This window comes from Homo sapiens, chromosome 15 (genome assembly GCF_000001405.40).
Source record: "Homo sapiens chromosome 15, GRCh38.p14 Primary Assembly".
NCBI lineage: Eukaryota > Metazoa > Chordata > Mammalia > Primates > Hominidae > Homo > Homo sapiens.
In genome coordinates this window covers 95622738-95650359 of record NC_000015.10, presented here as the reverse complement: position 1 = coordinate 95650359, position 27622 = coordinate 95622738, and the positions used below count along the sequence as shown (strand labels likewise).

The 27622-nt window shown below is 38.6% G+C and overlaps 2 annotated features.

The window, feature by feature from the left end:
* Positions 836 to 991: a silencer, noted in NCBI's record as "fragment chr15:96192598-96192753 (GRCh37/hg19 assembly coordinates)". NCBI's record gives its function as "represses an EF-1alpha promoter that drives an FKBP-Casp9 reporter gene in an ReSE screen in HepG2 liver carcinoma cells {active_cell/tissue: HepG2}" and the evidence as "EXISTENCE:reporter gene assay evidence [ECO:0000049][PMID:32094911]".
* Positions 22659 to 23360: an enhancer, noted in NCBI's record as "OCT4-NANOG hESC enhancer chr15:96170229-96170930 (GRCh37/hg19 assembly coordinates)". NCBI's record gives its function as "activates a minimal SCP1, AML or CMV promoter by ChIP-STARR-seq in primed H9 embryonic stem cells {active_cell/tissue: H9 hESC(primed)}" and the evidence as "EXISTENCE:reporter gene assay evidence [ECO:0000049][PMID:30033119]".

Sequence of the window (27622 nt, the reverse complement as noted above, 5' to 3'; positions counted from 1 at the left end):
CTATTTTTTGTAGAGAAGGGAATATCACTGTGTTGACCAGGCTGGTCTCCAACTCCTGGCCTCAAGCTATCCTCCTGTTCAGGGTTCCAAAAGTTTTGGGATTACAGGCGTGAGCCACCATGCGTGGCCCTTCCTGTAATTTCTAGCTGTATTGGGGGAGGGGCAAGCATACCGTAATAAGAAACTTACAATAATTCATAAACTTAAGAAAGGTTAGCCATGTTTGCAGGAAGAAGAAACAAATAACATTTTCCAAGTCACTCGGAAGTGCTAGAAGTTCCTTCAAGTGGAGCAACTGTTGACATTACCAGCAGAATCAGCTGACGTGAGGTTTTCTTTCTAGTCCTAAAGTCCTCAAAAGACCAGATCAAGGTTTAGATGATCACAAGAGTGAATATGTCTGTTTGTCCAATACGACTTTAAATGCTGATCCAAATTTTATATTTAATTTTCTTAAAAGGCCCATGGAATGGACTACCCTCAGGAGAAATGAAATAGCAAAAGAAAGAAAGAAACAAAAATACATATTATAAAATAAAATTGCCCTTACATTTGGGTCTGTGGCTGAATGGGACAGGAAAAGAAAAAGCAAGATGATTTTGAAGGCCTATTGAATTCAGTTTGGCAGTCATATAGTCAAGGAGATGAGACAGAGGGAAAACTGTGCTGAGGGTAGAGAGATGAGATTTTCTCCAATCTTGAAGGATGGATTCACAAGTTTAAGGGGCAAGGAAACATTAAAGGACGGATAAAAGTTCAAATTAAAAGCCCTTTATCTGACAGTATTCACATTATATTTGCATTGTATTTTCTTTGTGAAGATTTTGCCCTGGATATTTCTTTTGCTAGAACAGCAATTCACAGTTGAACTGTTTGAAATAATCCACATCAAAATAAGGCCCAGGGTGTTTCTACCCAGGCCAGAGAGCCAACCCTCAGTGGCATGAGCCAGGGCACCCTGCCTTTACATCATGCTTTGAACTGATTAAATCCATTCAGAGATGGACCACCCGAACAAAGACAGAAATGTAACCCCCTGTCTTCTGTCCTGTTGTGTCTTTTTTGAGAAAGTAGAAACATTTCTGCTCTTACCATAAGGAAAGGAAATAGGAAGAAGCCAAATTATATGTGTGATTCCTGTAATATATACCTGTATATATGTATGTATGTATATTTGTGTCAATAAGAGATTAAATGTATTAATTTACTTATTACTAAAGCAAAAAAAGAAAGTAGAAGGATATTTTACTGCTTCAAATTAAGAGTTATATTATTTTATAAATATAAATAATATTGGCATTTGATTTTTAAAAGGTAGCTTTGTTTCCTTTTTTAAATTGCAATGCAGAAACTATGATAATCCAGTTAAAATAGTTATGCAATAATTATCAAGGTAGAGAAAATATTGGGGAGAATTAAATTGGTCCATTCGTGGCCATAATTCTTACCCCTACTTGATGTGGCAGGTGTTTTTACAGAAATAGCTCATTTTTCCAGTTTAAAATGTGGCTAGCATCAATTTCAAGTTAATTTGGAAAAATTATCATTTTAGGAAAGATACACCAAGGCATTAACTGTAGTTACTTCTGGAAATGGAGATTATGTGTGATTTTTGTTTTCTTCTTGATACTTTTACATATTTTAAAAGTTCTGTGCAATGAATTTGTGTTACTTAAACAATTGATAATTGAGAAAAGTTATTTTAAAATAACAAAATGTACATCGTATTTTTTTCTTATTGAGTAAAAACAGTTATATTCTACCAAATAAAAGGTTAAAGAAAAACCATTTATTTTTATTCCATAAACTACCCAAAGTCAGAAAACATACAATGAAATCAGGTGACGTATCATGAATCAGATGGTTTAAATTGTTGTCTTTAAGAATTAATTCTGTAAATACTTCCTACCCTCAGCCAGCGAATTTACAAACATTTTTAAAAATTTTTGAAAAATAATATGTTTTATTTGTATAGAAATGGCAACTTTTAAATTTTTCTGAATTTCATACTTTTGTCATAGAGAAAGCTAGCATTTTCTTGTTTTTTGTTTTAAGTACAAGATTTCTGTTTCCATTTGACAGGAATTTAGTACATTTAGATTTGAACATATATTCTCCAGGTTTAGTACTTACAGGGATCTTGGAAGATTCTCACATACTCACTTCGTATAAATCGTAGAAACTACTTCTGTCTTAGATCTGCGGTTCTCCACCAGCCGTCTGTTTTATTATTTTACCATCATTTACAATCTCCTTATCTCATAAGCACTTACAGACTCTCTCTCTTAACTATAACTTCAGGAACAGATTAAGTTTGCTTTTCAAAGCCATTTGTCATCTGAGATATGTTTTGTTAGTGTTTTCTTTTGTAAATCATTTTATTATTGTAAGGTGCCTCTGGATGCTGGCATGATAATAGGCTATATAAATGATTTTGTCCTATATTTGTGTTGTATATACTTTATTTTAATAGCACTCTTGGGTCAAAAGCAGCCAATATTATTCCGATTAATTCCTGTCTAGACACTCATAAATTGTCCCTTAATTTGCAGAGAGAAAACGAAGTCATATGAAGCATAACCTTTCTCCGCTGCAGAAACTGCACCTGGCTTTTCTGGGTGAGAGGAGGCCTGCCTCCCTGCGTCCTTCAAAGCAGCAGGCCTCGCTGCCACAAGGGTGAGCATCTCATTTTTTGTGCTCGGCCCAGGTAGCCAGCCAAGGCTTGCCAGTTGGCATGCTGCTCCTCAAAAGGAAAACACAAAGCCTAATCCCCCAACACAGTTTCAGACAAACACTCATTTTATTTACTCATATTCATCTCCCCAGAAGAAAAAAAAAAGGAGGAGAAAAGAGCTTGCTTAATCCCAATACTAACACAATATTGATTCACATTCATGTTCGGTATTTATTGACGTGCATTGCATACAATGGGGACTATCAGTCAGGCTACTGTGTTCAAGGGAAGGCGCAATCACCTTAGAGAAAGAGATGAAGCACACAGTTTATACAGCCCTAATTTTATGTAATGTAAACCTTTCAAACATTGCACATGGGAGTGAAAATGCATGTCCTAATGAAAAACCAAATGCATACCAAATGGATTTCTCTTAAAGCTAATTATGGCTGCGGAATATTTGTCCTCAAAAGTTCACCATTATTTCCTAAACTTGTATAATGAAACTAACTTCTTTGGCTTTGCAGCAGCTTTCTGTATATCTCATTAACCAACTGTAAATGCATTTGTGCTTGAGAGCACAGCACAGGGTTTTTGTTTTGTGACATCTAGTGTTCAGTGTTTTGAAATTATGCAGGTGGTGTGTAATGCTCTAGGCTAACTATATACAAAGCTGGAGTATATATTGAATACCAGACAGCATATATGTATTACTAGCATATGGCTTCTGCAAGAAGAAAGCAGATATGAAAAACACTGTACTCTTTTTTTTTGGCCCCTTGGAGATTTTTATTGCCTAGTGGCAGCTGTATTTAATAAAATATTAGTAGCCACTTGAGGTTTAAAGGTGTAGCACAATTCCGTTTCAATATAACAATTCCATAAATTCAAATATGAAACCTTCATAGAAGCATGATATAGCTATAATTAAAGAAAACTTGGTATGTGCTTTTGAAAAACCAAATGGAGGGCACATTGTACCTGCAGTCGATCTATAAAGTGGATTTTGGGTAATCATTCACAGGTTTGAAAGTTGGAAGCGATTCTAGAAAAGCCTCCATAACAGAGACTGATAGTTTAATTTCTGTTTTGTTTTGTTTTGTTTTGTTTTTGAAAAATCTTACCAAAAACACAACGATCTGCCCATGGCTTACAAATAAGTTTTTTTCCCCCACCCGCCCCCCCGCCGCCATTGCTTTCTTCATGCCTTTTAAAGTTCTCCTTTCCAGATATATCAAAAGTATGAAAGTGCTTAGGAAGCTGCCAAGTTCCATACAAATGTTAAACTTCATTGCTATTATTTACAACTTCATAAAGAAACAAAACACTGCCTTAACCACCTTGCTTAATCTCTGTCCTGGCACAGTCAGGGTGCCAGAGTGACAGAGGCTTTGGGTAGGAAAGAGTTTGGTTGGCCCCCTGTATTGATGAATTTATCTAAAGGACAGGGTGAGAGAAACAGTCCTCTACAGGAGGGAGATTGTACCTTTACAGATACCCAGCAAAGACTCTAGAGGAAACTCAGAATATTTGAGTGTGGTCAGAGTCCATACAGAGGTTGCAATGGCTTCGCAAAAGCTGCATCCGGCCCAGAGAAGAGTTCTACTTGCCTGGCACAATGTATTTAAAACGATGTTTAGTTGCTTCAGATTGTCCATGCTCTCTAGCTTATCACAGTCCCCAGGACTCTCTATCAGCTTGAAACTGCTCAAGCACCCAGGAGACAGTCTAGGTTATGATCCTTGCTATAAGACATGGGGAAAGGAAGGACAGGGAGACCCCATGTTTGAGACTAGTGGAGAGATAAGTGAGGGGGGTGAGTGGATGACAGATCAAGGCAAAGCCCTCACGGTGCTGGTAAAGGGAACTCCTGAAGGACTAAACATGATACAACTCGGGAATTGCATAGAAGAGGGGACAGGGTGTCCGGCTAAGCAATGATTCCAAATAGCCTCAGGGGTGATGAAGAATAGACTAAAGGCAGTATCAGGCGACAATGAAGAGGCCCTGGGTTCTGAACATGTTACTGAAGTAGAACAAATACAAATTTCTACTGCACTGTAAGGAAAACCTGGTGGTTAAGGAAAAGTTTCATATAACTTCAAATATCTTAGCTGAAGTGCAGAAATGAATGAGGAGCAACTAACAGAGATGGAGAAGCCCATATGAGGAGAACAATGGTGAGTTTTATGTGTTGAGCAGACGTCGGGTGGAGGTAATCAACTCTGAAACAGCATGGGGTTTTGGAGAATGCTCTAGAGATGATAAAATCTTGGCTAGAGATAAGGTCTTGGGTGAGATGGATGGCAGGGAATTGTAAGTTGCACAGTGACTAACCTCACTTGGGAAAAAGAATACTCAGTGAGAAGAGAAAGGGGCCAAATGGGGCTCCTTTGAACAGCAGTGTACAAACATTGAGAAGATGAGGAAGGTAAAAACAGAGACTGAGAAGGAATAATCAAAGAGAAGATGAAGAATCAAGAGTGAGGTCGGCTGTGATACCAAAATACAATGGTTAATATTACTATCCTGTATGATAGCAGGGAGGTGAATTCCCAGAGGGAAGGGTACTCTTCTTTTCTTTCCGTGAGAATTTTTTGTCTGTAAATTGATTTTGTGTTTAGTCACATGGACAGGGCCCATTGTGAACACATCAAGAACTCTTATTTTCCACAAGCTAACCAAAAATAGCTAACCAAAAATCTTGTTTGGAGATGCATTTCATTCCTTTTGTGTGTGACTCCATTACAATGTTCTAAGTGACCCTGTAGCTGATTTATTTTCCTGTGAATGCTATGATAAGGCTGGAGCTCAGGAAACAGGACTTGAGAAGTTCAGAATTTAAATCAAGATGAACTTTATTAAAGTGTATAATTTGAACCAAATTTGAATCTCTAGTCCCAGGAAAGAAGAATTACACAGCCCAACCCGGTTGGACTGTGTGTATTGCAACTTCTCCAAACATGGGTCAGGAGCAGATGCTACTGTTGCTATGGTAACTTCTGAGCTTTTAGTCTGTGTGTGCGTGTGTGTGTGTGTGTGTATGTGGTATGTTCTCTATCTTGCTTCTGCAGTTCCAAAGTAAGATAATGGTTGCTAAAATTTCAGTGTTCTTTCTTGTAGTAGTTAGAAGGAAAATGCATTTCAGATCTTTGAGACCAATGATTTTTTTTCATATGTATTAAGACATGATGGAATTATTTAATTACCTTTGCTAGCAAGTTTACAGACAACCATCCCCTTACCATATTGCATATCCGCAAATAGGATTATTTACATCCAATCTAAGGAGTGCTGACTGGTGTCATTGGAAGCTGAAGCTGTATCAGCATTTAAATTCTCACTTTTCTGGGCAAAAACCCAACTGAATGATTCAATTAAACTCGTTATGTTATATATTATCCAGAAGTTCACAATACTACAACATGATTCTCCCAGTCTGAACCCCTGCCTTTATGATTGCAATTTGGTAGCAAGACAATTTCCAAGGACTATTTTACTTGAACTGCAATGAAAACGTCAGGCCATAACACACTTTTTGATGTGGGTTTTATGAATGGCACTCTAAAATCAACCATTATTTCAAGTACATGCAATACATAACCTTCATTATTCATCAGAGTGTAAATATGCATTTGTGTTTGCAAATATGGTGGTTCCCTGAGCAAAGCAGCCTGCAATCAACAGCTCCTTCAGCCATTTAAGGAGGTAACAAATGGACGCCAGCCTCTTTAATTGGTAAGGACCATCTCTGGAGTTACTGAGAGACAAACAGCTTATTCTGCAGCAGAGACTTTGCTCATTGCCCTGTTCCCAGTGCCTAGTATCAAAGAGAGTTTCATATTTTAAACATTCAACTAATACGTATTAAATAAATGACATTTAACTCACACTCCCTAGTGCCCTATGGAGACATATTTTTCTCCAGTGATTTTAAAGAAATTCATTTTCTACATCTCCTGAATTTGTCAAGCCCAAAGAATTCTTTCAAAAGAATTAATCTATTAGGTAGACTTAGTAAATTTCAGTCCTAAAACTGGAATGGTAGAAAATGTCTTTCTTTGAAGACACTTGCTCACTGCCTAACATCTTTTTGTTTCAAGAGAGAGAAAGCCAAAAATATTTGCACTGATATTCTAAAAGTATGTAAAGCCAACACAGTATATCAACCCCATTGTACTGATAGATAAATCCACTATGTCCAGTAAAGCCATTGTGTGTCACTGCTTCCGACATCCAGGAGAGATATATTTCTAGTCACTTTCAGCTTCCCCAGGACTTGGCCTTCGAACCTCCTTCTGCTCCAGATCTCTTAAATGGATTTCTTTGCCAATTTAATACTCCTTGCTATTGCCTACTGGGCTGGTAGAGACATTTCCCTCCCCTTTGTGTGATTCTGTTACTTCACCTTCTTCACTAGATTATATTGCTCATTTGCTTGTCCGTGTGTTTATCTATGATAACTTACCAGGTGCCTGCCATGTGTCAGTCACTGCACTTTTGTGCTGCATACTGGGGTACAAATATCAGTAACTCTGTTATGGACTAGATGTTTGTGCCTCCCGTCCCCTAAAAATTCGTATGTTCAAGCCCTAACCTAACCTTTTTTTTTTTTTTTTTTTTTTTTAAACAGAGTTTTGCTCTTGTTGCCCAGGCTGGAGTGCAATGGTACCATCTCAGCTCACTGCAAGCTCTGCCTCCCGGGTTTAAGCAATTCTCCTACATCAACTTCCTGAGTAGCTGGAATTACAGGTGCTTGCTGCCATGCCTGGCTAATTTTTGTATTTGTAGTAGAGAAAATACAGGGGTTTCTCCATGTTGGCCAGGATGGTCTTGAACTCCTGACCTCAGGTGATCAGCCCACCTTGGCCTCCCAAAGTGCTGGGATTACAGGCGTCAGCCACTGTGCCTGGCCTGATAAGTGTTCTTGTAAGAAGAGGCACTAGGGAGCTCGTTCTCTTTCCCCACCATGTGAGGACACCGCAAAAAGGCAGCCATCTGCAGGCCAGGAAGAGGGTCCTCACCAGGATCCAACCACACTGATGCCTGATGTTGGATTTCCAGCCTCCAGAGCTGTGAGGCAAGCATTTCTATTATTTAAGCCACTCAGCCTTTGGTGTTTTGTAATGGCAGCCTGAGCAGACTAAGGACAAACTCCAAAGTGCTCTTCATCTCAGTGCCAGGGGCTGATCCATAATATCAGCCATATTCACTGTAGTAAGTACCATAACCCCAGAGAGGAGATAGGCTAACTGCTTGGAGCAGTCATAAATTAGTGAATATTTATGTTAGGTTTTGCACTAAAAAAAGAAATTTGGTAGGTTGTTTTCTGGGCAGAAGATGCAGCCTGTGCAAAGGCCTGGTACCACCGTCACATTCAAGGAACAGTTGACTGTCAAAGTAATTGAGATATAGGTGTGGTCAGACCAGTGGTGACACTCCTGCAATGATAGGTTAGAGTCAGATCATGAAAGGTCATAACTTCTTTGCTAAGGAGTTTAGGCTCCATTCCGTAAGACAAAAACAAAAACAAAGAGGGTGGGTCACAGGATTCTTAATCAAGTGAAGGACAAGGTCAAAATTTTAAGGATGACCTATAACAGCTAAGGGCAACATAGATGACATAGAAGCTAGTAAGAAGGCTGTTAAGCTCATCTGTGGGAGAGAGAATGAGGGCTCAGGCTGTATTGAAGGGACAGAAAGGAGCCAACAGACATGTGTTGGGTTCTGCAGGACTGGCCCTTTAGACAAGACAGGGTGTCAGCCGTCTGCCTTCTCCAATGTGTCAGAAGGTTCCCTCTCCCCAGGCATCTCCTCTGCCAGTACACCTGACAAGCCCACTGCTTCTCACTCAAATTAATTAAGAAGCAACAGTTCCTTAAAACAAATAAAAAACAGGAGTGTTTTTGGAGGTATGGCACACACTGTCAATGAGATTACCTTACATCAGCCAGGGGCAACATTTCCCAAAGTGTGTTCTGTGGAACTCCAGTGTCTGCCAGAGGTTAATACTTATTACATTAACCAAATGAAGACGGAATTCTTGATGAAATTACTTGGGGGGAATCTCTGGGTCAAACAGGTTTTTTGCTGCAGACATTCAAACCTCTAATTCCTCATGAGCATCATGGATATGTTAAACAAGGATAGAGCATGTGTGGTTTCTTAAACGTACTGGAGACTTTCATAGAGCTTCTCCCATGATTAGAGACAATGATTAGGGACAACTTTGGAAAACTTTCATACACAGAGGGCTGTCTAGCTAACTATGTCATTTGATACACATTGCTTCAATGGGTCCCTTCAAGGATTTCATGCTGTGGGTAAGGCAAACATTAGTGTGAACATTTTAGCAGAAGGAAGCAAAGGCTCAGAGGAGCTGGTGCCTTGTCACAGATTTCCTAAGAGGAAGAACTGAGACTTACAAGCAAATTCTCTGCCGCCATGTGCAGGGATCTTCCTACTGTACACAAATAGCATCACTGCCATAGCTAAAAGGAATGGGGAGGAAGGGGACCACAGGTGCAAGAAGTGAGTGAGAGGCTCGAGGTAATAGGTTTAAGGAGATGGAGGAAAAATCAGTGGAGAGAGACATCTATATGACATCTTGGAAGGCTGTCTGTCATCAAACAAGGGACACAATGGGACCAGTGCTGCCTAACAAATGATTCAACAGTTGAATGAAAACACTCAGTGCAAATTATACCTTCTCTTTCTCATTACCTGGAGTCACTACCAAGTGAGGTGGAGCTGGTGGTCTAAGGGTCTTTGTTTGTTCATTTTTTTGTTTATTCAAGAAACACATGGGAATTTAATCCTAGGGTCTGCCCAGCCTGGATATTGCTACATCTCCCCATAGCTGAGATGACAATGAGACTTCTCTAAGCTGAGGACTCTCTATGGCTATATACCACTCACAATGAGAGGTCACTTCATTCTAAAATGAATGCATCCAAATTGGATGAGGGAAGCTGTTCTATAATTCTGCAAAGCTGAAGGAATAGCTTGGTATCACATAGACCCTGCCTACAAACTCTCACTGGAACAGCATTGGTCAGGCTGTCATTCAACATTATAGAGCACCTACTGCATGCTGGAGAGAAGTGTACAACAGAGGCACGGCCTCTGCCCTCATAGGAAACGAGAATCCACTAGGGAAGAAAGGCAATCGCCAAGAGCTATGGGAAGGCAGCAAAAGAGGTCCAACAATATTCGATAACGGTGTTAGTCAGGAAAAGCTACACTGAGTTTCTTAAGTTCACTTGATCTGAGAACAATTGCAAAATGAGGTGACTGGACCATAGCAATATTTTCCAAAGGGTCCTCCACAGAGTGTGGTTTAACATACTTGCAAGTCACCTGGATTATACAAAGTTCAGTTGTGGCTTTTTTTTTTTAGCAAAGCACATGTTGGTCTGTAGAGCGCTAATATGCATTATGAATCTCGAAGGGAAACTCTAGAGAAGAGTAGCTCCCGAATGTTATGGGAAACATTTTACTGCAGAATATTTATAGCAGCCAGTATTGTCTTGTAAGGGTGAAAATTTACAAAACAGTGGAGTAGATGTCTAAAGTCTCTAGCAGCTTTAAAATTCAATTATCGTGTCTTAGAGTATGTTTTAGAAAGCAGATAACCCACCAATAACACATAGGATAGATTAGATAGGTGGACACTGGGAGCTGGAGGTTGTGGCAGCAAATCTTTGTGGAAAATCATGACGGTCTGAGCTAAGATGGAAGGGACAAACAAGGCTTGGATGCTAATTAAATATAAAGTATATGAGAACAAAAAATAGAACAGTAGCTGAGTACCTAGGGAAACACTATAGGTTATTTAAGAATGCTTTATGTAGATAGGTGTAATTTAGTCAATTAATATGGAGAGTCAAAAAAGTAACCATTTACAGCCCTGTGTGGTGGTGTGCCTGTAGTTCCAGCTACTCTGGAGGCTGAGGTGGAAGGATCGCTTGAGCCCAGGGGTTGGAGGTTGTAGTGAGCTGTGATGGCACCGCTGTCCTCCAGCCTGGGTGACAGAGTGAGACTCTGTCTATAAGAAAATAAAAATTAAATATAATATAAAATATCATTTATAAAGGGAACTTTCTGGAGTGAAACACATCCAATAGGATTCTGAGTAAGCTGGGTGGACATAAGTAGGAGGAGGATAGAGTGGAGTATTTTTATTTTCAAAGAAAGCAAATGAGAATGGAAGGGAGCTCTGTCTCCGCTGAGGGCCCGTGAGTATCCTTACCCACCCTAGTGTGGCTACTAATCTTATCTACTTCTTCCCCGTTGAATCTATCCTCCCTTTTCTAATATGTGTAACTTTTATTACAGTGCATGGCGAGAAGTGTGAATTTTTGTTTCCCCTAGATAGCCTTCCAATTTTAAAGCTCACCCTTAAAAGATTATTTTCATAGCCCTTTGTCAGGGAAACTTTACCAACTTTCTGAGTTCTATCTCAAATTTTACTTCCTCAGTGATACCTTCCAACAAAACTCCAGCCAACTACAATATCATCCCATGCTCGCTGTCAAACTGCACCAAAATTACACTATAACTTTTCTGTACAATGAGACAATTATCTATATTCAAAAGAGTATTTTCTTTTGTAGAACATTATATTGTTCTCTCATTATGCCATGAGCTTTTGTAACTCTCCAGGAGTTTCCATTCCTGTAAGTGGCACATCGCTGGATATTCCATAGGCCTACAGTTGAACACAAATCAATGAGTATTTAGCCATAATTTCTAGATGTTAGAGCCATTTAGATGCTGGGTAAGGGGGGTTACGATACAGAAAAGACAAAACGAAACAATAACAGAATATAGACTTCACTTTCACGGAGCTTAAATGCTTGTAGAAGTTTCAAGAAATAACTGAGAGTAAGTAAAACAAATATAAGCCAAAACATATTCATTGCTATAAAAGAAAAGTTTTAATGCTGTTTTACAGGGGTCTAGGCAAAAAAACCCATCAAATACAGTTGGGAAGATTGGAGTGGCCTTGACCTCCCAAGTCATTATCCTTGAATCCCCTCTGTGAGGTCAAATCACCCTTTAGCATGTTCATGAACCCCTTGAAGCAACTAAGAAATCACTTTGTCTAAAAATATAAAGTATGACTCTGGATCCTAGTTATTATGATTGAATTAGAAAGTTTTACCTCAGGGCCGGGCGCGGTGGCTCCAGACTGTAATCCCAGCACTTTGGGAGGCCGAGGCGGGCGGATCACGAGGTCAGGAGATCGAGACCATCCTGGCTAACACGGTGAAACCCCGTCTCTACTAAAAAATACACAAAATTAGCCGGGCGTGATGGCGGGCGCCTGTAGTCCCAGCTACTCGGGAGGCTGAGGCAGGAGAATGGCGGGAACCCGGGAGGCGGAGCTTGCAGTGAGGCGATCGCGCCACTGCACTCCAGCCTGGGGGACGGAGCGAGACTCCATCTCGAAAAAAAAAAAAGGAAAGTTTTACCTCAGAAATCTTCATTTAAGAATCAGTAACAACATTGAGAGTCTCCTTTTAAATGATAGTTAGGCTTTTCTGTGTGTTCGTTCATAGGCATTTTACTGATCTGAGACGTGAAATGTAAAGTTGTGGAATAAGATACGTAGGAAGTGGTAAGTTTTCTGAGTTTTTAAAATATATTTCTAATCATTATCTGTTTGGAATTTTTAAAATGTGTTGCTATGCACTGGCTGTTTTGCCTTCTAAAACGAATGACAACTTGACTTAGGGTTCTTGTGACAGTTCTTTTATTCTCAAATCTTATAAACTATGCCACTGTCTTCTGACTTTCAAAGCTGCAGAGAAGAAGTATGATGCCAAAGTGATTTTGGGGGATTACATACCAAAATAGTTAATTTATATTTTCTTTCTGGATATTTGTAGGATTCTTTTTTTTTTTTAATTTTTATACTTTAAGTTCCAGGGTACATGTGCACAACGTGCGGGTTTGTTACATATGTATACATGTGCCATGTTGGTGTGCTGTACCCATTAACTGGTCATTTACATTAGGTATGTCTCCTAATACTATCCCTCCCCCCTCCCCCCACCCCACAACAGGCCCCAGTGTGTGATGTTCCCCTTCCTGTGTCCAAGTGTTCTCATTGTTCAAATCCCACCTATGAATGAGAACATGCGGTGTTTGGTTTTCTGTCCTTGCAATAGTTTGCTGAGAATGATGGTTTCCAGCTTCATCCATGTCCCTACAAAGGACACGAACTCATCCTTTTTTATGGCTGCATAGTATTCCATGGTGTATATGTGCCACTTTTTTTTATTCTTCTACATTAATGTTTTAGCCAAATTATATAGATATTTATCTCTTTTTATCAGTCGCTTTCTATGCAAGCTCTCCTTTGACTCTATTCAGAGCTTTCTTCTATCCTTCAAATTTTGCTTTTTACATAATTATCTCTATTTTTTTCTGTATAACTTATTTGGTTGTTTTAATTCCATTTTTCTAATCTCTTTTTTTATAAATGCTGATTGTTAGGGGATTGGGTCTCTGATGGCCTCTTTTATAAATTCCAACTCTTCATACCTGTCTTCTGCATTCTGAGTGAAAATTTCACCACAGGATCAATTTTCTTGGTGATGAATGTTTCACTTTAATTGATCTGGTGAAAATTTTTGTATTTATATTGCATTTTTTTGTCCCCTTAGAGTCTCTGTCATTTTATGTCTGCTTTTTTTTTTTTTTTTTTTTTTTTTTTAAGCCAGCTTACTTTTCTGGGCAGTTTGTTTTCTTTATAGCCTTCGATTTCATAGCTCTGTTTTCTTTTTTTTTAAAAAAATAAAATGTATATTATATAAAATTATTTTTCTTATAATAACTTTTCCCCTAAAATATTATTTTAATACTCCCTGTGAGTGCTTTGTTTCCCTTCTCATATCTTACTGAATCTCTCAACGGTCATGTTTTACTAATTAAAAAACAATGTAGTTTTAATTTAGTAACTTACAATGAGAAGCCCACATCAGCCATGAATCTGGCGGGTGAGTTCTCCTTTCATTTCATAATGTCCAGCCACTTTCATCTAGAATTAACCTCTCAGATTGTAGACCAGTGGGCAGGTTAAAGTTACTTTGCATTACCTGCTCCCTGATCCAAAAATCTGGGAGCAATATGCTAAGAGTCAGAACTCTGGGAAATTCTGGAAGGTTTTATTTGATAATGCTATAGTCTGAATGTTTGTGTCTCCCCAAAATTCATATGTTGGAATCCTAATGCCCATGGCAATGATATTGAGGGGATGGTGAGGCTTTGGGAAGTGATTTGTTCATTAGGGTGGAGCCGTGTGAGGGTTGAGTGAGAAGAGAGTCATCTATAAATCAGGATGAGGATTCTCACAAGTCACCAAATCTGCTGGTGACTTGATCTTGGAATTCCCCACCTCCAGAACTGTGAAAAATACACTTCCGTTATTTATAAGTTACCTGGTTTGTGGTGTTTTGTTGTATCAGCCCAAATGGGCTCAAGATTGGTTAAACAGCAGCTGGGGAACAGAAAACCGCGTCTACCTTTCCTATAAACTTACCCTCTGTGCCAGCTATGCAATGTGCATATGGGAACTTTCTCCCTGATGCTGCTTCCCATTGCACCAGGAAGGAGCCATCTATCACATCAGATTGCCAGCTGCAGACCCTGCCAGCTTTCCCTATGCAGCTATCTAGACACTCTCACAACAGCAGCAGCACTGAGTGGATTCCTGGGTTCACCCAAGCTTCTGATAGTTCTTTTAGCCTGTCTCCTACAAAGAAGTGTGAGTGGGATTATCTGCAGGCTTATCTATTTACTCATGATGATGCTGAGAAGGAAGAACCATGAGTTGACTCTCAACGTCCTCCTTTAGTATGTTTTCATACGTGTGTCAACTTGTACAACAGGAATTCCTCAAAATTTCTGTTATGGCTGCCTCTGTTTCCATGGATGATGAAGGTTTTTCCCTAGTTAGAAAAAACTTTGGATAATTTTACTAATAATCTTAGTGGGCAGTAGGCCTGGGAAATAATTAGGTGTTCTATATCAAGTGGCCATTTTAACCGGAAATATAACCTTTGGCTTTAGTTACAACTTTCTGGGCCAACGCCTGTTCTTCATCTTTGTTCCAAAGAGAACAAACCCATTCTTTCCTTTACATGGTAAATCTTTCAGCAATGGAAGATAACCTTCATTTATTTCTACGCTGACACAGAGCTTCTTTGTGTGGTACAGGCTTATACTCTGCTCATGGCATGAACTGGAATTTTCTCCCATTTAGTATCTTGTTCCAGCATTTCTGTGTGGGTTTCTTAGGATGTAACACTCATAAATGACTACAACACTGGTCATTACCTGACCAGGGCTTATGTAAGATAATCACCTCCTTACAGATAGTACCTCTCTTTCTGTAATCAGCAGCAAGACTATATTAGCTTACTGGGTGTCACATCATATAGCTGACACATACTGCTCTTTTGTCTTTTTTTTTTTTTTTTTGTGAGACAGAGTCTTGTTCTGTCGCCCAGTCTGTTGCGGTGGTGCGATTTCAGCTCACTGCAAGCTCCACCTACCGGATTCATGCCATTCTCCTGCCTCAGCCTCCGGAATAGCTGGAACTCCAGGCGCCCGCCACCACGCCCGGCTAATTTTTTTTTTTTTTTTTTTTTTTGTATTTTTAGTAGAGATGGGGTTTCACCGTGTTAGCCAGGATGATTTCGATCTCCTGACCTCGTGATCCGCCCGCCTCGGCCTCCCAAAGTGCTGGGATTACAGGCGTGAGCCAGCATGCCCCGCCCACATACTGCTCTTTTTTCAAAATCTTAACCACTAATCTTTTTCACAGAGACTTTGATTAAGCTGCAGGTTTCTCTTCCAACCATTTTAGGCCTTTTACCTCTTTGAATGGAAGTGCAGGTCCTTACATTTGCTCCACTTACATTACTGTAGATTTCTGCTCATCATTCATATCCACTCACATTCTATCATTCACTGCACTCACTCCAGCTCCTTTCTGGTTCCATGTAAGAAAATTTCATCAATACACCTTCTGTACTGTTTTCTGATCCTGGATAAAAATGCGAAGCAAGGCAAGGCTGAGCACACAATATGCATGACACCCCCAAGAACTGTATCCCCTCAGTGGCCTCAATTCACTAATTAGCCACCTCTGGTAACAGATGTTCTGCTAAGTCCAGAACTCTCTCATGATCTCAAATTTTGTCATTTTGATCACGGGTAAACCAGAAAAGGCTTTGTATCCTCAAAGGGACTTTTAAGAAGAGTTCTTAATTTTTCTGTAAGTCTGTGTGTGTGTTAGTGTTTGCACGTGTGTATAGGGCTGTGTGTGTATGTATGTGTGTGCATATATTTATATATATATATACACACACATATATGTTTATATAAAGATTAATAATTTCCTAATATTATAAAATGTGTTTAAAGTCTTTATTTCTTTAATTAGCAACATTATAATATAGCTTCTGTGACGTGGTGGAATCCCAGGATGTTGTCTCTGTGATCAGTGTCGGAAACCTCTCTGCGATTTGTCACAAACTGATCCAACTCAAAAGTTTATCTGGACAAATTAAGCTCTCAAAGAAATCTTGGCAGTCTTCTACCTTTTCCTGGATTTCAGGGAGCAATTTTGATTTGTGATCTCTTAAGTCCGTAACAATTTGCTATTTCTAATTTATTGCTTCATTTGTGACTGCTGCTACGGCAAGGTAAATTTATTCTGATTTGCACAACCTAAGTCCTTCCTCTGACAGTGACTAATTATTACCTGAGTTAAAATAATGAAAGTGTCGGAAAGTGTCCGAATGCAATTTGTTAGGAAAACATGTGGCATGCTGTGTTACCCCAGTCCAGAAAAGCCTAAGTGATCAGAAACCATGGAGAATTAAGATTTTTTTTTTCCCTCTAAGGTTATAAATCAATGTAGAAAATTTCAGAAATTTCCATTGCAAAGAACTGAATTTGCTGAAACAAGGGGCACTTCTGGGCCTTTAAATATCCTGGACTTTAATAAAAGTAACTCTTTAAGGGGATCTACTATAAAATTACATGAAAATAACAATAAGCAAGTGAAGAGAAGCAACATTTATTGAATGCCTACTGTGTTCTTAGCTTCACTGGGTGCTAGGCACATTGCATGCCTCATCTCATTTTACAACCATTCTGTGTGGACCATTTTACTTTTTCTGATTTTATTCCCAGCTTACAGAGAATCAGAGCTTATGTGATTTTCCAAGCACATAGCTGATCAGTATTAGAGCTGTGCTTGAAATACCAATTTCTCTGATTCAAGAGCTTGTGCTTTTTCTCCTATACCAAGATTTCACTTAAAGCTGATTTCATTTCACACGTGCAGCAATTTAAAAATGTAAAATTAGCCAACAGAGCTCCTATTCAAGAAGCTACATGTATGAAACGACACGTATATGACATATAACTAATTATTAAAACAAGGAGTGATAAATACAGACTGAAATGATTAATAGAAATTGGTGGACAAACAAAATAGCTAAAGAATTCCTCGTTTGTTTCATATCCAACAGCATGTCTGGCCAAAGGCTGGATTCTTTCTGATGTCCAATGGCTCTGTAATTTAGTTATTCAGTCTCCAAATACATATTTTTAAAATATCAAGACATATTCTATTTAAATTTTTTGACCCAAAGAGGTTAAACATGTCAGAATTTTTCCAGGTAAAATATGTATAATCGTGATAATAATTATGGTAATGAAGAAAGTAAGTTTCCAAAAGGAGCTTCATTTAAATTAATGGCATAATTTTTATATGGGCAGTACATTTATAAAATGCGGTAACTGAATTTTGGCAATTTACAAGTACAATATAATAAAAATATGTCTATGCTGGAAGAGCTGCTTTTTCACATTAAACTCTTGCTAACTTATTAAGATTGGTACTTAAATATTTCACAGGTTAAGATACTTCTGCTTACAAGGCCCATAAGATATCTAAATTGTGAGTTTAAAGCACTGTTTCAATTATATTTCTTACTTTGTGTTAAATATTTTAAGCTAATGTTTTTAACTATTGTAGTTAGTGTTCACATTCAGAAAGGTTTTCTTAATTTGATGATATGTTAATTATGAACAACATTAAGAATAATCATTCTCAGGGTGTTCACTCACAAATGCTAATTGATGTTTTAGATGTGGCCAGGAAAGAATCATACCGGCACAACATTGACACCTATCTGGATCTCATAACCTTCCAACTTTTTAAAAGGGTTCCACCTAGAAACGTAGTTAATCAAAAAGACGCTCTGTGGTAAAACAGATGCTCAACACAAGTGTTCACTGATGGATAAATGGATAAACAAAATGTGGCATATACATAGAATGGAAGGCTATTCAACCCTGAAAAGGAAAGGAATTATGACACGGGCTACGACGTGGATGAAACTGGAAGACATGATGCTAAATGAAATAAGCCAGACACAAAAGGACAAATGCTATATGATTCTACTCATATAAGATACCTGGAGTGGTCAGATTCGTAGAGACAGAAAGTAGAGTGGTGGTGATTGCCTAGAGCTGGGGCGTGGGGAGAATGTGGAATTGTCATTTAATGAGTGCAGAGCTTCAGTTGGGGAACATGAAACATTTTGGGAGGTAGATGCAAATGATGACTGCACAACAATGTTAACATACTTAATGCCATAGAACAGTACACTTAAAAAGGATTAAAATGATAACATTTGTGTTATATATTTTATCACAATAAAAAGTAGCTAATTTTCAGTTGAAGAAATGTATGCTCTGGTAAAGTCTTCACTGATATATTTGCTAGTAAGAACAAGTTAGGATAGAGGCAAAGCAAGAAAAGTTTTAAAAGCTATGCAAAATATTAAAAGCTATGCAAAAAAACTACCGTATTTTTGAATGGGTAATACATGCATATAATAAAAAATGCAAATTTTCCCACAGGGTACATGGTGAAACTTAAGCCTCTCTCTCTTCCTAGTTCTCTATTCATTGGAGGCAGCATCATTAGCAGTTTTTGGTAGAGACTTCCAAGACATTCAAGTATTTAAACATTGATTTGTGCAAAGATTTCTTGAGTAATACCCCAAAAACATAGCCAACCGAAACAAAAATGGACAAACGGGATCATGTCAAGTTGAAAACTGGTCTATAGCCAAGGAAATTATATTAAAAAAAAAAACTGAAGAGAAAACCCACTGAATAGGAGAAAATATCTGCAAACTATCCATTTGTTAAGGGATTAATATCCAGAATATATAAGAAGATCAAACAACACAACAGGAAAACAAATCTAATAATTTGATTAAAATATGGGCAAATATCTGAAGATACATTTCTTAAAAGAAAACATGCAAATGGCAAACAGGTATATGAAAAGGTGCTCAACATCATTGTTCATCAGAGAAATGTGGATCGAAACTACAATTAGAAATCATCCTACTCCAATTAAAATGGCTTTTATCCAAAAGACAGTCAATAACATATGTTAGTGAAGATGTGGATAAAATGAGACCTTTGTACACTGTTGGGGGAATGTAAATTATTAGTACAACCACTATGGATAACAGTATGAAGGTTTCTCAAAAAACTGAAAGTAAAACTACCATATGATCCAGCAATCCCACTGTTAGATATATACCCCAAAGAATGAAAATCAGTATATTGAAGAGATATCTGCACTCCTATGTTTATTGCAGCACTATTCACAGTAGTCAAGCTTTGAAATCAATTTAAGTGTCCATCAACAGATAAATCAATAAAGAAGATGTGGTACATATACACAATGGAGTACTATTCAGCCATGAAAAAGAATGAGATCCTGTCATTTGCAACAACATGAATGGAAGTGGAGGCCATTATGTTAAGCGAAAACACAAAGATAATCTTTACATGTCTCACTCATTTGTGAGAGCTAAAAATTAAAACAATTGAACTTATGAAGCTAGAGAGTAGAATGATGGTTACTAGAGGCTGAGAAAAGTAGTGGGGAGGGGAAGGGAAAGTAGGGATGGTTAATGGGTACAAAAATATAGTTAGAATGAGATGTAGTATTTGATAGTACAACAGAGTGACTACAGTCAAAAATAATTTAGTGAACATTTTAAAATAACAGAAAGAGTATAATTGGATTGTTTGTAACACAAAGAAATGATAAATGCTTGATACCCCATGTACTCCGATGTGATTATTACACATTGTATACCTGTATCAAAATATCTTATGTATCCCATAAAGATATACACCTGCTATGTACCCATAAAATAAGAAATTTTAAAAATTTTAAAAAGCAACCAAAAAAAAAAGAATTTAATGAAAGACTGAAGGTCTAAGATTCTTGCCAGTATAGTGTGATGTTAAGAGCATAAGCTATGGAGCTTGAATGCATAAAACCTAATCTGAGTCTTGTTACCTATCAACCATGTAACTGCACCAACTACATGCTTTCCTTTCTCTTATTCCCAGTAACATGGAGGTAACCATGGTGCCAGTTCATAGGGTGGCATGGTTGAAGGAAATCATGCCGCATAGTGCTTTTCAAAATGTTAAGCACTCAGAAAATGGTGTTGATGAAAGAACGTACTGGCAGATGAAGGAAGCTGCTCTTACCCATTTGCTATACATAAATTGGGTTGCTATTCTGCATTTAACTACCGGAACAACTGCCAAGAACTTTCTGTATGAGTGGCCATTTAATTATGGTCTAAAGGTGTGTGTAAAGATAAGGCATGTCCTAGGATTACAGACTTGTGGACTGTTAACATACGGGGGGACTTCCTTAGACTTTGAGAAAAATATGATCACAACTTTTCTTTTTAAGCAGTTTGATAAATAGAAACCAACTGGACAGCTCTGTTGTATTTAATGGGTTTGAGCACACTGTCTAAAATCTGCTTTAACAGTATAATATCTATTGAATATTTCCTCTGAGAACAGGTTTATTATTAGATTACATTATACGAGATAAGATCAGTCAATAAGGGATTTTTTTTCCCCAATCCAGCTTGCCAATGGAAATATCTGTTTTTAAATTACTCCAAGACCTTCTTTGTAGGAGGCTGGGAAAAATATAGCTATGAATCATAAAATTGACAAACCCTGGGGCTGGCATGGGCCTGGTCTAAGAGATGCAAAGGACAAAGATAAAGGTGCACAACAGGTACACAGGACAGGGAGAATGAAAGATAAATAGAAGTAGCTGTTGAATAGGAGGAGCGAGACAGAATGCTGTACTTAGAATGCAAAATCAAAATAAAAAATGGAAAGAAAAAAGTGCTTGAACTGGAGAGAACAAGAAATCAGCCTTTCCTTCCAATATTAGGAGGAAAATTCAGATGATTCTATTGCATAATCAAGACTTAATTGGACCATAGAACGCTATACTTTCACTTTGCCGTTGATTTTATATGTCAGTTTAATCCATCTTCAGTCACAAAGGTTTTCTTCCTTTTTCTTCATCTCATATCATCACCAGTAACAGCTCACCTGTTTTAAAAATATCTTGACCCAAATAAGAAAAGCCTCTTTTGAATTAATTACTCCTCATGGGACAGTGAAGGTACTTTCCTTAATTCAAAGTTAGACTTTCAGGATAAAAAGAAAAATAAAAACAAAACAATCTCACAGCTCTCTTTTGCTGGTCAATCTAATAGGAGAGAGGAAAAAAGTCTTGCATTTAAATATCCATTTTGCCTATAAAGATTTTTCATATCTCTCAAAACCAAATTCTTCCATAAGATTGACATTTCAGAAGAGGAGGGAAGGCAGACAGGTGAACTGAGATCAAAATGGATTTTGCCAACCTTCCATTTTAAAGGTCAAGGTTGTTGCAGACTAGCATTGTGTCTTCTGTCTAAAGCTCCCAACTTCATTTCCAACATTCAGGAAATGCCCATGAGAAAAAAAGGAAGAGAATTCTTCCCTTGCTCTCTCTGGGACTTCAAATATATGTGGGTGGATGCCTTGAGTGCAGGACAGTCAAATGACTTTCTATCATGTGTTCTATTCTTCTAGAGGTGGAGCAAAGATGTTTAATTTAATGCATGAATTTTGGACAATTCTGAAAAAAATGGTGTTGTTTCCTTCCATTCTATGTTGTTCTGGGTTGCAATGGTCAATTGCATTCAGTGATTATACATTCACCTTCCGGTAAAATTCAGCTCCCACCTTCTTGCTTTCACCTGTCAGACCATGTATTCACTCTGGAGTTTGTTCTTCGAGTGCTTTAAAGATCAAGTGAAAAGTTTCTGTGTTGTCTCATGAACCAAGGTGTTGCCTCTGCCGTCTTGAACCGATGTGCACATATCTGGCCTGGCTCTGTTCACACCCTGCATCCTGGCCATACAATGAGAATTCTGCACAGTTCTTGCTCTTGAGGAGTGCATGGCCAATTAGGAGGATTCCTTGTAAAAAGATGAGTTTAGGTCTCCTGTCTTTGGAGGAGATGAATCATTTGTGTAAAGTTATAAAAAGTACAACTTTCATAAGCACAGAAGCTAAGTACATTCAGATCCTTTATAGATGAGGGTTGTTTGAATTTTGACCTAATTGTTCTATAGATGCCCTCTTTATGCTAGCATTTAACGTGATTTTAACTCTTAGTAACAATATTTTAAGTATTTACATAATATATACATTGCTATGACGTATTTTGTGTTTTTTGTGATGTATTACAATATTTGTAATACTTAAAAATATTACAGAATAACAATACACAAGCTTTTGGGTTATAGTATCAATATGCAATATATTAAAAGACACATGGTACATGCTTGTTACATAACCACATCCCCGCACACACAAAGAGAAAATGATTCTGTGTTTCTTGAAATCAAGCAAGATATAAGTTAATGAAATATTACTGGTGGAAGGGTCCTCAGAAATGATTGATAATAGTCCCCCGATTTTTAAAATGACCAAACCAGGATTAGAATACTCAGAAAAGTCATCCAGTGGAAGACAGAAGGGTAAAGACAATGCAGGGAGTGGAACCTGGGGTCCTCCTGTGTCCTCCTCCAGCCAACCCTCAGCTCTTAACACTCAGCAACCCGCTCTAATTCTCCAAAGACTTGAGATGCTGGGGAAAGGCCTTCACCACCATCAGATTGCACAAAATAAGCACGTGCAACTGAACTGCTTAGGTTCCGAATATTTGACATTTAACAACCCATACTGAGGAATATCTTTGACCCATCAGTGCTACATCTGAACCTGAAAGAAAAATGTTTATGTTTGTTATTAGACGTAGATATGCCTGCCTCCCTTCCCTGCTCTTAGAGACATATGCCTCTATTGTCAGCTCCGTTTCCTGTGTTTAACCCATGCTCTGTCTCCTCTGATTGCCCCTAATGGAGCTTGACAGTTGTAGAGTTAATCCAAGCTCTGGTCTCCAGGTTTCACCTCAGGAAACAATCGGTCCCCAGAGCTTTAAGGCTTCTTGCAAGGCTATATTCCCCCAGAGTCCTTTCCCAGCCCAGCTGGGGAGCTTTTCCCATTGTCTGCCAAACGGACACCAATTAAGTCAACTGTTCCCCAATTAGAATTTTGCAGAATTTATCTTGTTCTCTTGTACTCCGGCTCCCAAGCAGGGGTCTGTTTTTGGAATTAGTTACAGAAGGAAGAAAATAAATAAATAAATCGCAGCTCTTTCCTGTAACGCGATACCCCTGGGTTTTTCCCGTCAGCCATTCACATAACATGATCCCGGGAAATATGGCAAATGCTTGGTAGCTCTGAGATTTATCATCTGCATGGTGGAACTGTTCTTAGGTCAGGGCCCAAAGCAAAGGGCTGGTGCTCACCCAGGAGGGGCACTCAAGTGACTGGAAAGAGGTGGGAAAACTCCTCTTTGTACCAAAAACGAGGATTTGCTTTGAAGAGATGAAAGCCTGGGGTTTTGCTTTCTGGAGGAAATGCCCCTCCATTTGGACAGCCGACTTTAAGGCAGATGTGTTCTTGTGATGAAGGATTTTGCAGAGCGCGGCATTTCCAGGCAACGTTTAAGATGTCAATCAGTAGTGTTTGAAATCACTCAGGCTGTCACAGCTGGGTGACACTGTGGCTGCGCTGGGAGCCTTTAGAGAATGTGGATGTTGTTGACATCAGAATGCACTTGCTTGTGAAACACAGTCAATCACAAATGATATCTTCCTCAAAGAATCCTATTTATTGTCATACGTTTTTAAGCATTTATTCAGCATGTTCATTTGATAGACTCACAAATAACACAGAAAAGTAGGTGCCTTAGAGGCCCACTTCTCAAACTTTAACGAGCACACAGGTTACCTGGGGTCTTACTAAAATGCAGATTCTGATTCAGCAGATCTGGGGTGGGGCCTGAGATTCTGCATTTTTCCTCAGGTCCCAGATGATGCGGAAGCTTTGAATCCCCTACCATAGTGCGAATAATAGGAGTTGAGACTGATACTTTGTAGGTAAAAGTTACATGATTCTTATTGGATTGGCTTCACAATGACACAGTAAGATTTGAACTTGAATGATGTGTTTAGATATTTCAAATAAAACCCCCTGTCACTCTGTGATTGCCTTCTGTTTCTAATAGTATTCAATCATTTATACGCTCATTAGTTCATCTGTTCTTTTGATACTTATTTGCAACTTATTATGTGTGTGGTACTCAGCTGCGTACTAACATACAGAAACAGACAAAAAAGTCACTGACATTCAGACAAAACATAAGGAAATGAAAGTTTGGCATCTATGAATGCATCCATTGCTACATGAGCAGTAATCTCAAAACTTAGTATTTTAAAATAGCCACAGCATAGCCAGATTTCAATTCTCAAGTCCCCCAAAAGTGCAGCAGCCAAATCTGCCTGGCCTTGTCCACTGACTCAAGACTGGTTAAGCGCCTCTCACCACTGATTAACACTAATTGAAGGCTCAGCTTCCATTTGGTGCAGGAGGCTACTTACTGTACAAGGCCAGGAACACTTGAAAGCATGATTACTCACTCAGGGGGCGTCACTGGCAACTAACAGCTAGTATACAAAATAGCTAAAATGAAAAAACACAAATAAGGACTGTAGCAGTTCAAAGAAGAATAGAATCAGTGTGAGCTAAATTTTTAGAAGTCTTCACCTATAAGACAAGGCAAAAGAGATGAAAGAGTCATTTACAATACTTATATACTTGTTACTTTCATTATTAAAGTTAAGTAAATGCTTGTTGAAATAAATTAGACAACAACAGAAAGGAAAAAGTCACCTATAATCAAATTATTAACTAGATAGCTATTTTAAATAGGCCCTTTATCTTGATAACAGCAACATAACACCAAAGAGTAAGATTTGAAACAGAAAAGCTAAAGGCCATACAGAAAATTATATGTTCTGGGGGAAAGGACCCTCTTAAAAGCATAAGATGACAATATATCAATGATCTGGGTTGGTTTTAAATAATGTGCTTCACGCTTACTGCAGGCTGAGAAAGGAATTCCTTAGCTTGTCACAAATCACCAACACTCCCAGCAGACTTCACTCAACAGTCAGATGCAATAATGTGAAAATTCATACCTCCATACACTTTCCAGCTGCATGCCACCACCGCAAAGAAAACACCAACTATTAGTGAAATGAGGCTGACTCAGTTTTCTCTGAATTATCTGTGTTTAGAAAGTGATCAATAAACCTTGTATAAAACAAAAATTGACATCTACATTTTAAGAGGAGAATGGCTCCCTGAGAAGCCATTTCTGTTTGTCTGTAGTTAAATCCAAATAAGAAAAAGAAAAAAAAAAGTCAAGTGAAGGTATCTTAGGCGGGTGTTTGTAATGGCCAAACAGCAATCATTCATCAAGTAGCCAATGTTAAGAAATAATGACTTAACATTGTGACATATGCATAGCTGTTCTTCAGCTCCTGTCTTGGTGTTTGAAGTATTTCTTTGCCTTGTTTTTCCTTCTTCGGTTCTTCTGTGGCTTAACCACCTAATGCTATATTCTGGGCAATTTTCCAGGCCTGATGTTCCTCGCTATTCTCCTCGCTGTTGTTATCCCAAGAAAGTAATGGCATAGCATTATTAAAATATCATTACTTTCTGTGGGGAAAAGTAAGAAAATGCTTTTATTTAATTTACCATTAATGAGGCCACCTGGAGATGTGCCCAAAGGACCTGGGACTTCTGTTTCAGATGATGAGAAAACTTCCAGATCTTGATAGGACTCACTATCAAAATGTTGTGGGAGTGTTGGGGGACTTGAGGCCACCCTGTCATTTTTCACCAGGGCCTTACTTCTTCTGTCTCAACTGTCCTCATCTTCAGAGGATGCAGAATTCAGGCCATAGGGCTAGAGAAGGGATATTTCTGGCCTGACCCAACCCAGGACAGCCTGAAACGTTTACAAGAAAGTTTGTTTTTAGGAAATTTCCAGTCCAATTATGCTCTCCCTGGAGATGTGAATAGTTCAGATAGCATTCAGATAAGCATCCACAATGTTGGGAACTTCCATAGAAAACAGACCAGCATAGAATTTTTTGAGGCTTGGCCTTCTCTGGATAAAATAGCTCTTTCAGGGTGAGGCAGCCTAGCCTGGTGGTCTCAGGATAGAGGTTAGCATCAGGAGATCCTGAGCGTTATGATTCCTGCTTCCTCTCTGGCTTGATGGGTGGCCTGAGGAATAAAATGAGAGCCAACCTCTGGATTTGAGACAAAGGGACCAATAATGATCAATATCATATTCTTTGACTTGATTAATTGGTGTGACGAATGGGTCTAAAAAGAAAATCACTTTCCAGCCTAAAATGTATACGTGAGATTCACGGGCCAATCGTTTGGGGTGTGCTGAAATCACTCTGAACAGAATTCTGCCTTTTCCATTAACCTCTACAGTTATCTAAGATTCCTACAGTGGCTTGAGTTCTTTATGGCCTCTGGTCAGTGGCAACTTCTACTTTGGGATGGCAATTTTAGATCAACATGGTACCTAATTTTGGCTGATGTAATTAATTAATCTTCATTCATTTTAGAGAACAGCAGTTTCCATGATCTTGAGGAGAAAACTCAAATGTTGTGGCCTGACTTTCAAGTACCTTTGAGCTCTAATTTCTGCTTATCATGCCAAACTCATCTCGAGCCACATATTAAACCATTTGACACCAACTATGCATTTTTTTAGATTCTACTTCCATGCCTCACCCTCCGATGCTCTCCGGCAATCCAGTATTACCTTACTGTAGCACTGCATCATTTTTCAAATTGTTTGGCAACTATCCATTTGTCCACAGATGGTATGTAATTAAGGTTAAAAGCATGGTTTTTGAAGTCATCCAGGCGAGAGTGTAAACTGTGCACTCCCACATGGCACAAAGGTCTTGCCCTAACACTGTTCTGAGAGACTGGACCAAATTTAACTTGGCTTCCACCTGCACTAGGCTATGTCCATAACAGGGATTCCCAACCCCATGCTGAGTCTTTGCTCATGGAAATATATGCTGCCAAACCATGCAAAGCACATCTTCTATCATTTTCCATTCCCCCCCACACCTGGCTCCCAGTCTCTTTTTTTTCCTCTTTTTAAAATTTCCTCATAACCTTTTTTTGTTTTCTTTTTGTTTTCCCTTTAATAACCTTAGTCATCTTTATCTTAGTTGACATTGAACTCAGCTTATACTGGAGTTTCTGTCTCCTGTTGCAGTAGTCTGGATAAAATCTGTCTTGCCTCCTTTAATACATGACTGGTGCTGTTTCTCTTCAATAAGATTGGAATCTTAGGTCTGCTGCTTCATAGTTAACAGGTCTTCAGGAAATTAACTCCTCTAAGCCTTCATTTTGTCCACCTCTAAAATGAGAATAATTATGCTTATCTCACAGGGATAAAATGAGGATAAATACATACAGTTAGTCCAGGTCCTGGGACTTAGTAAGCCCTTAATATACTATAGTAATTCTTAGTATTCTATGTCCCTGTCTGGGTGGATCTCA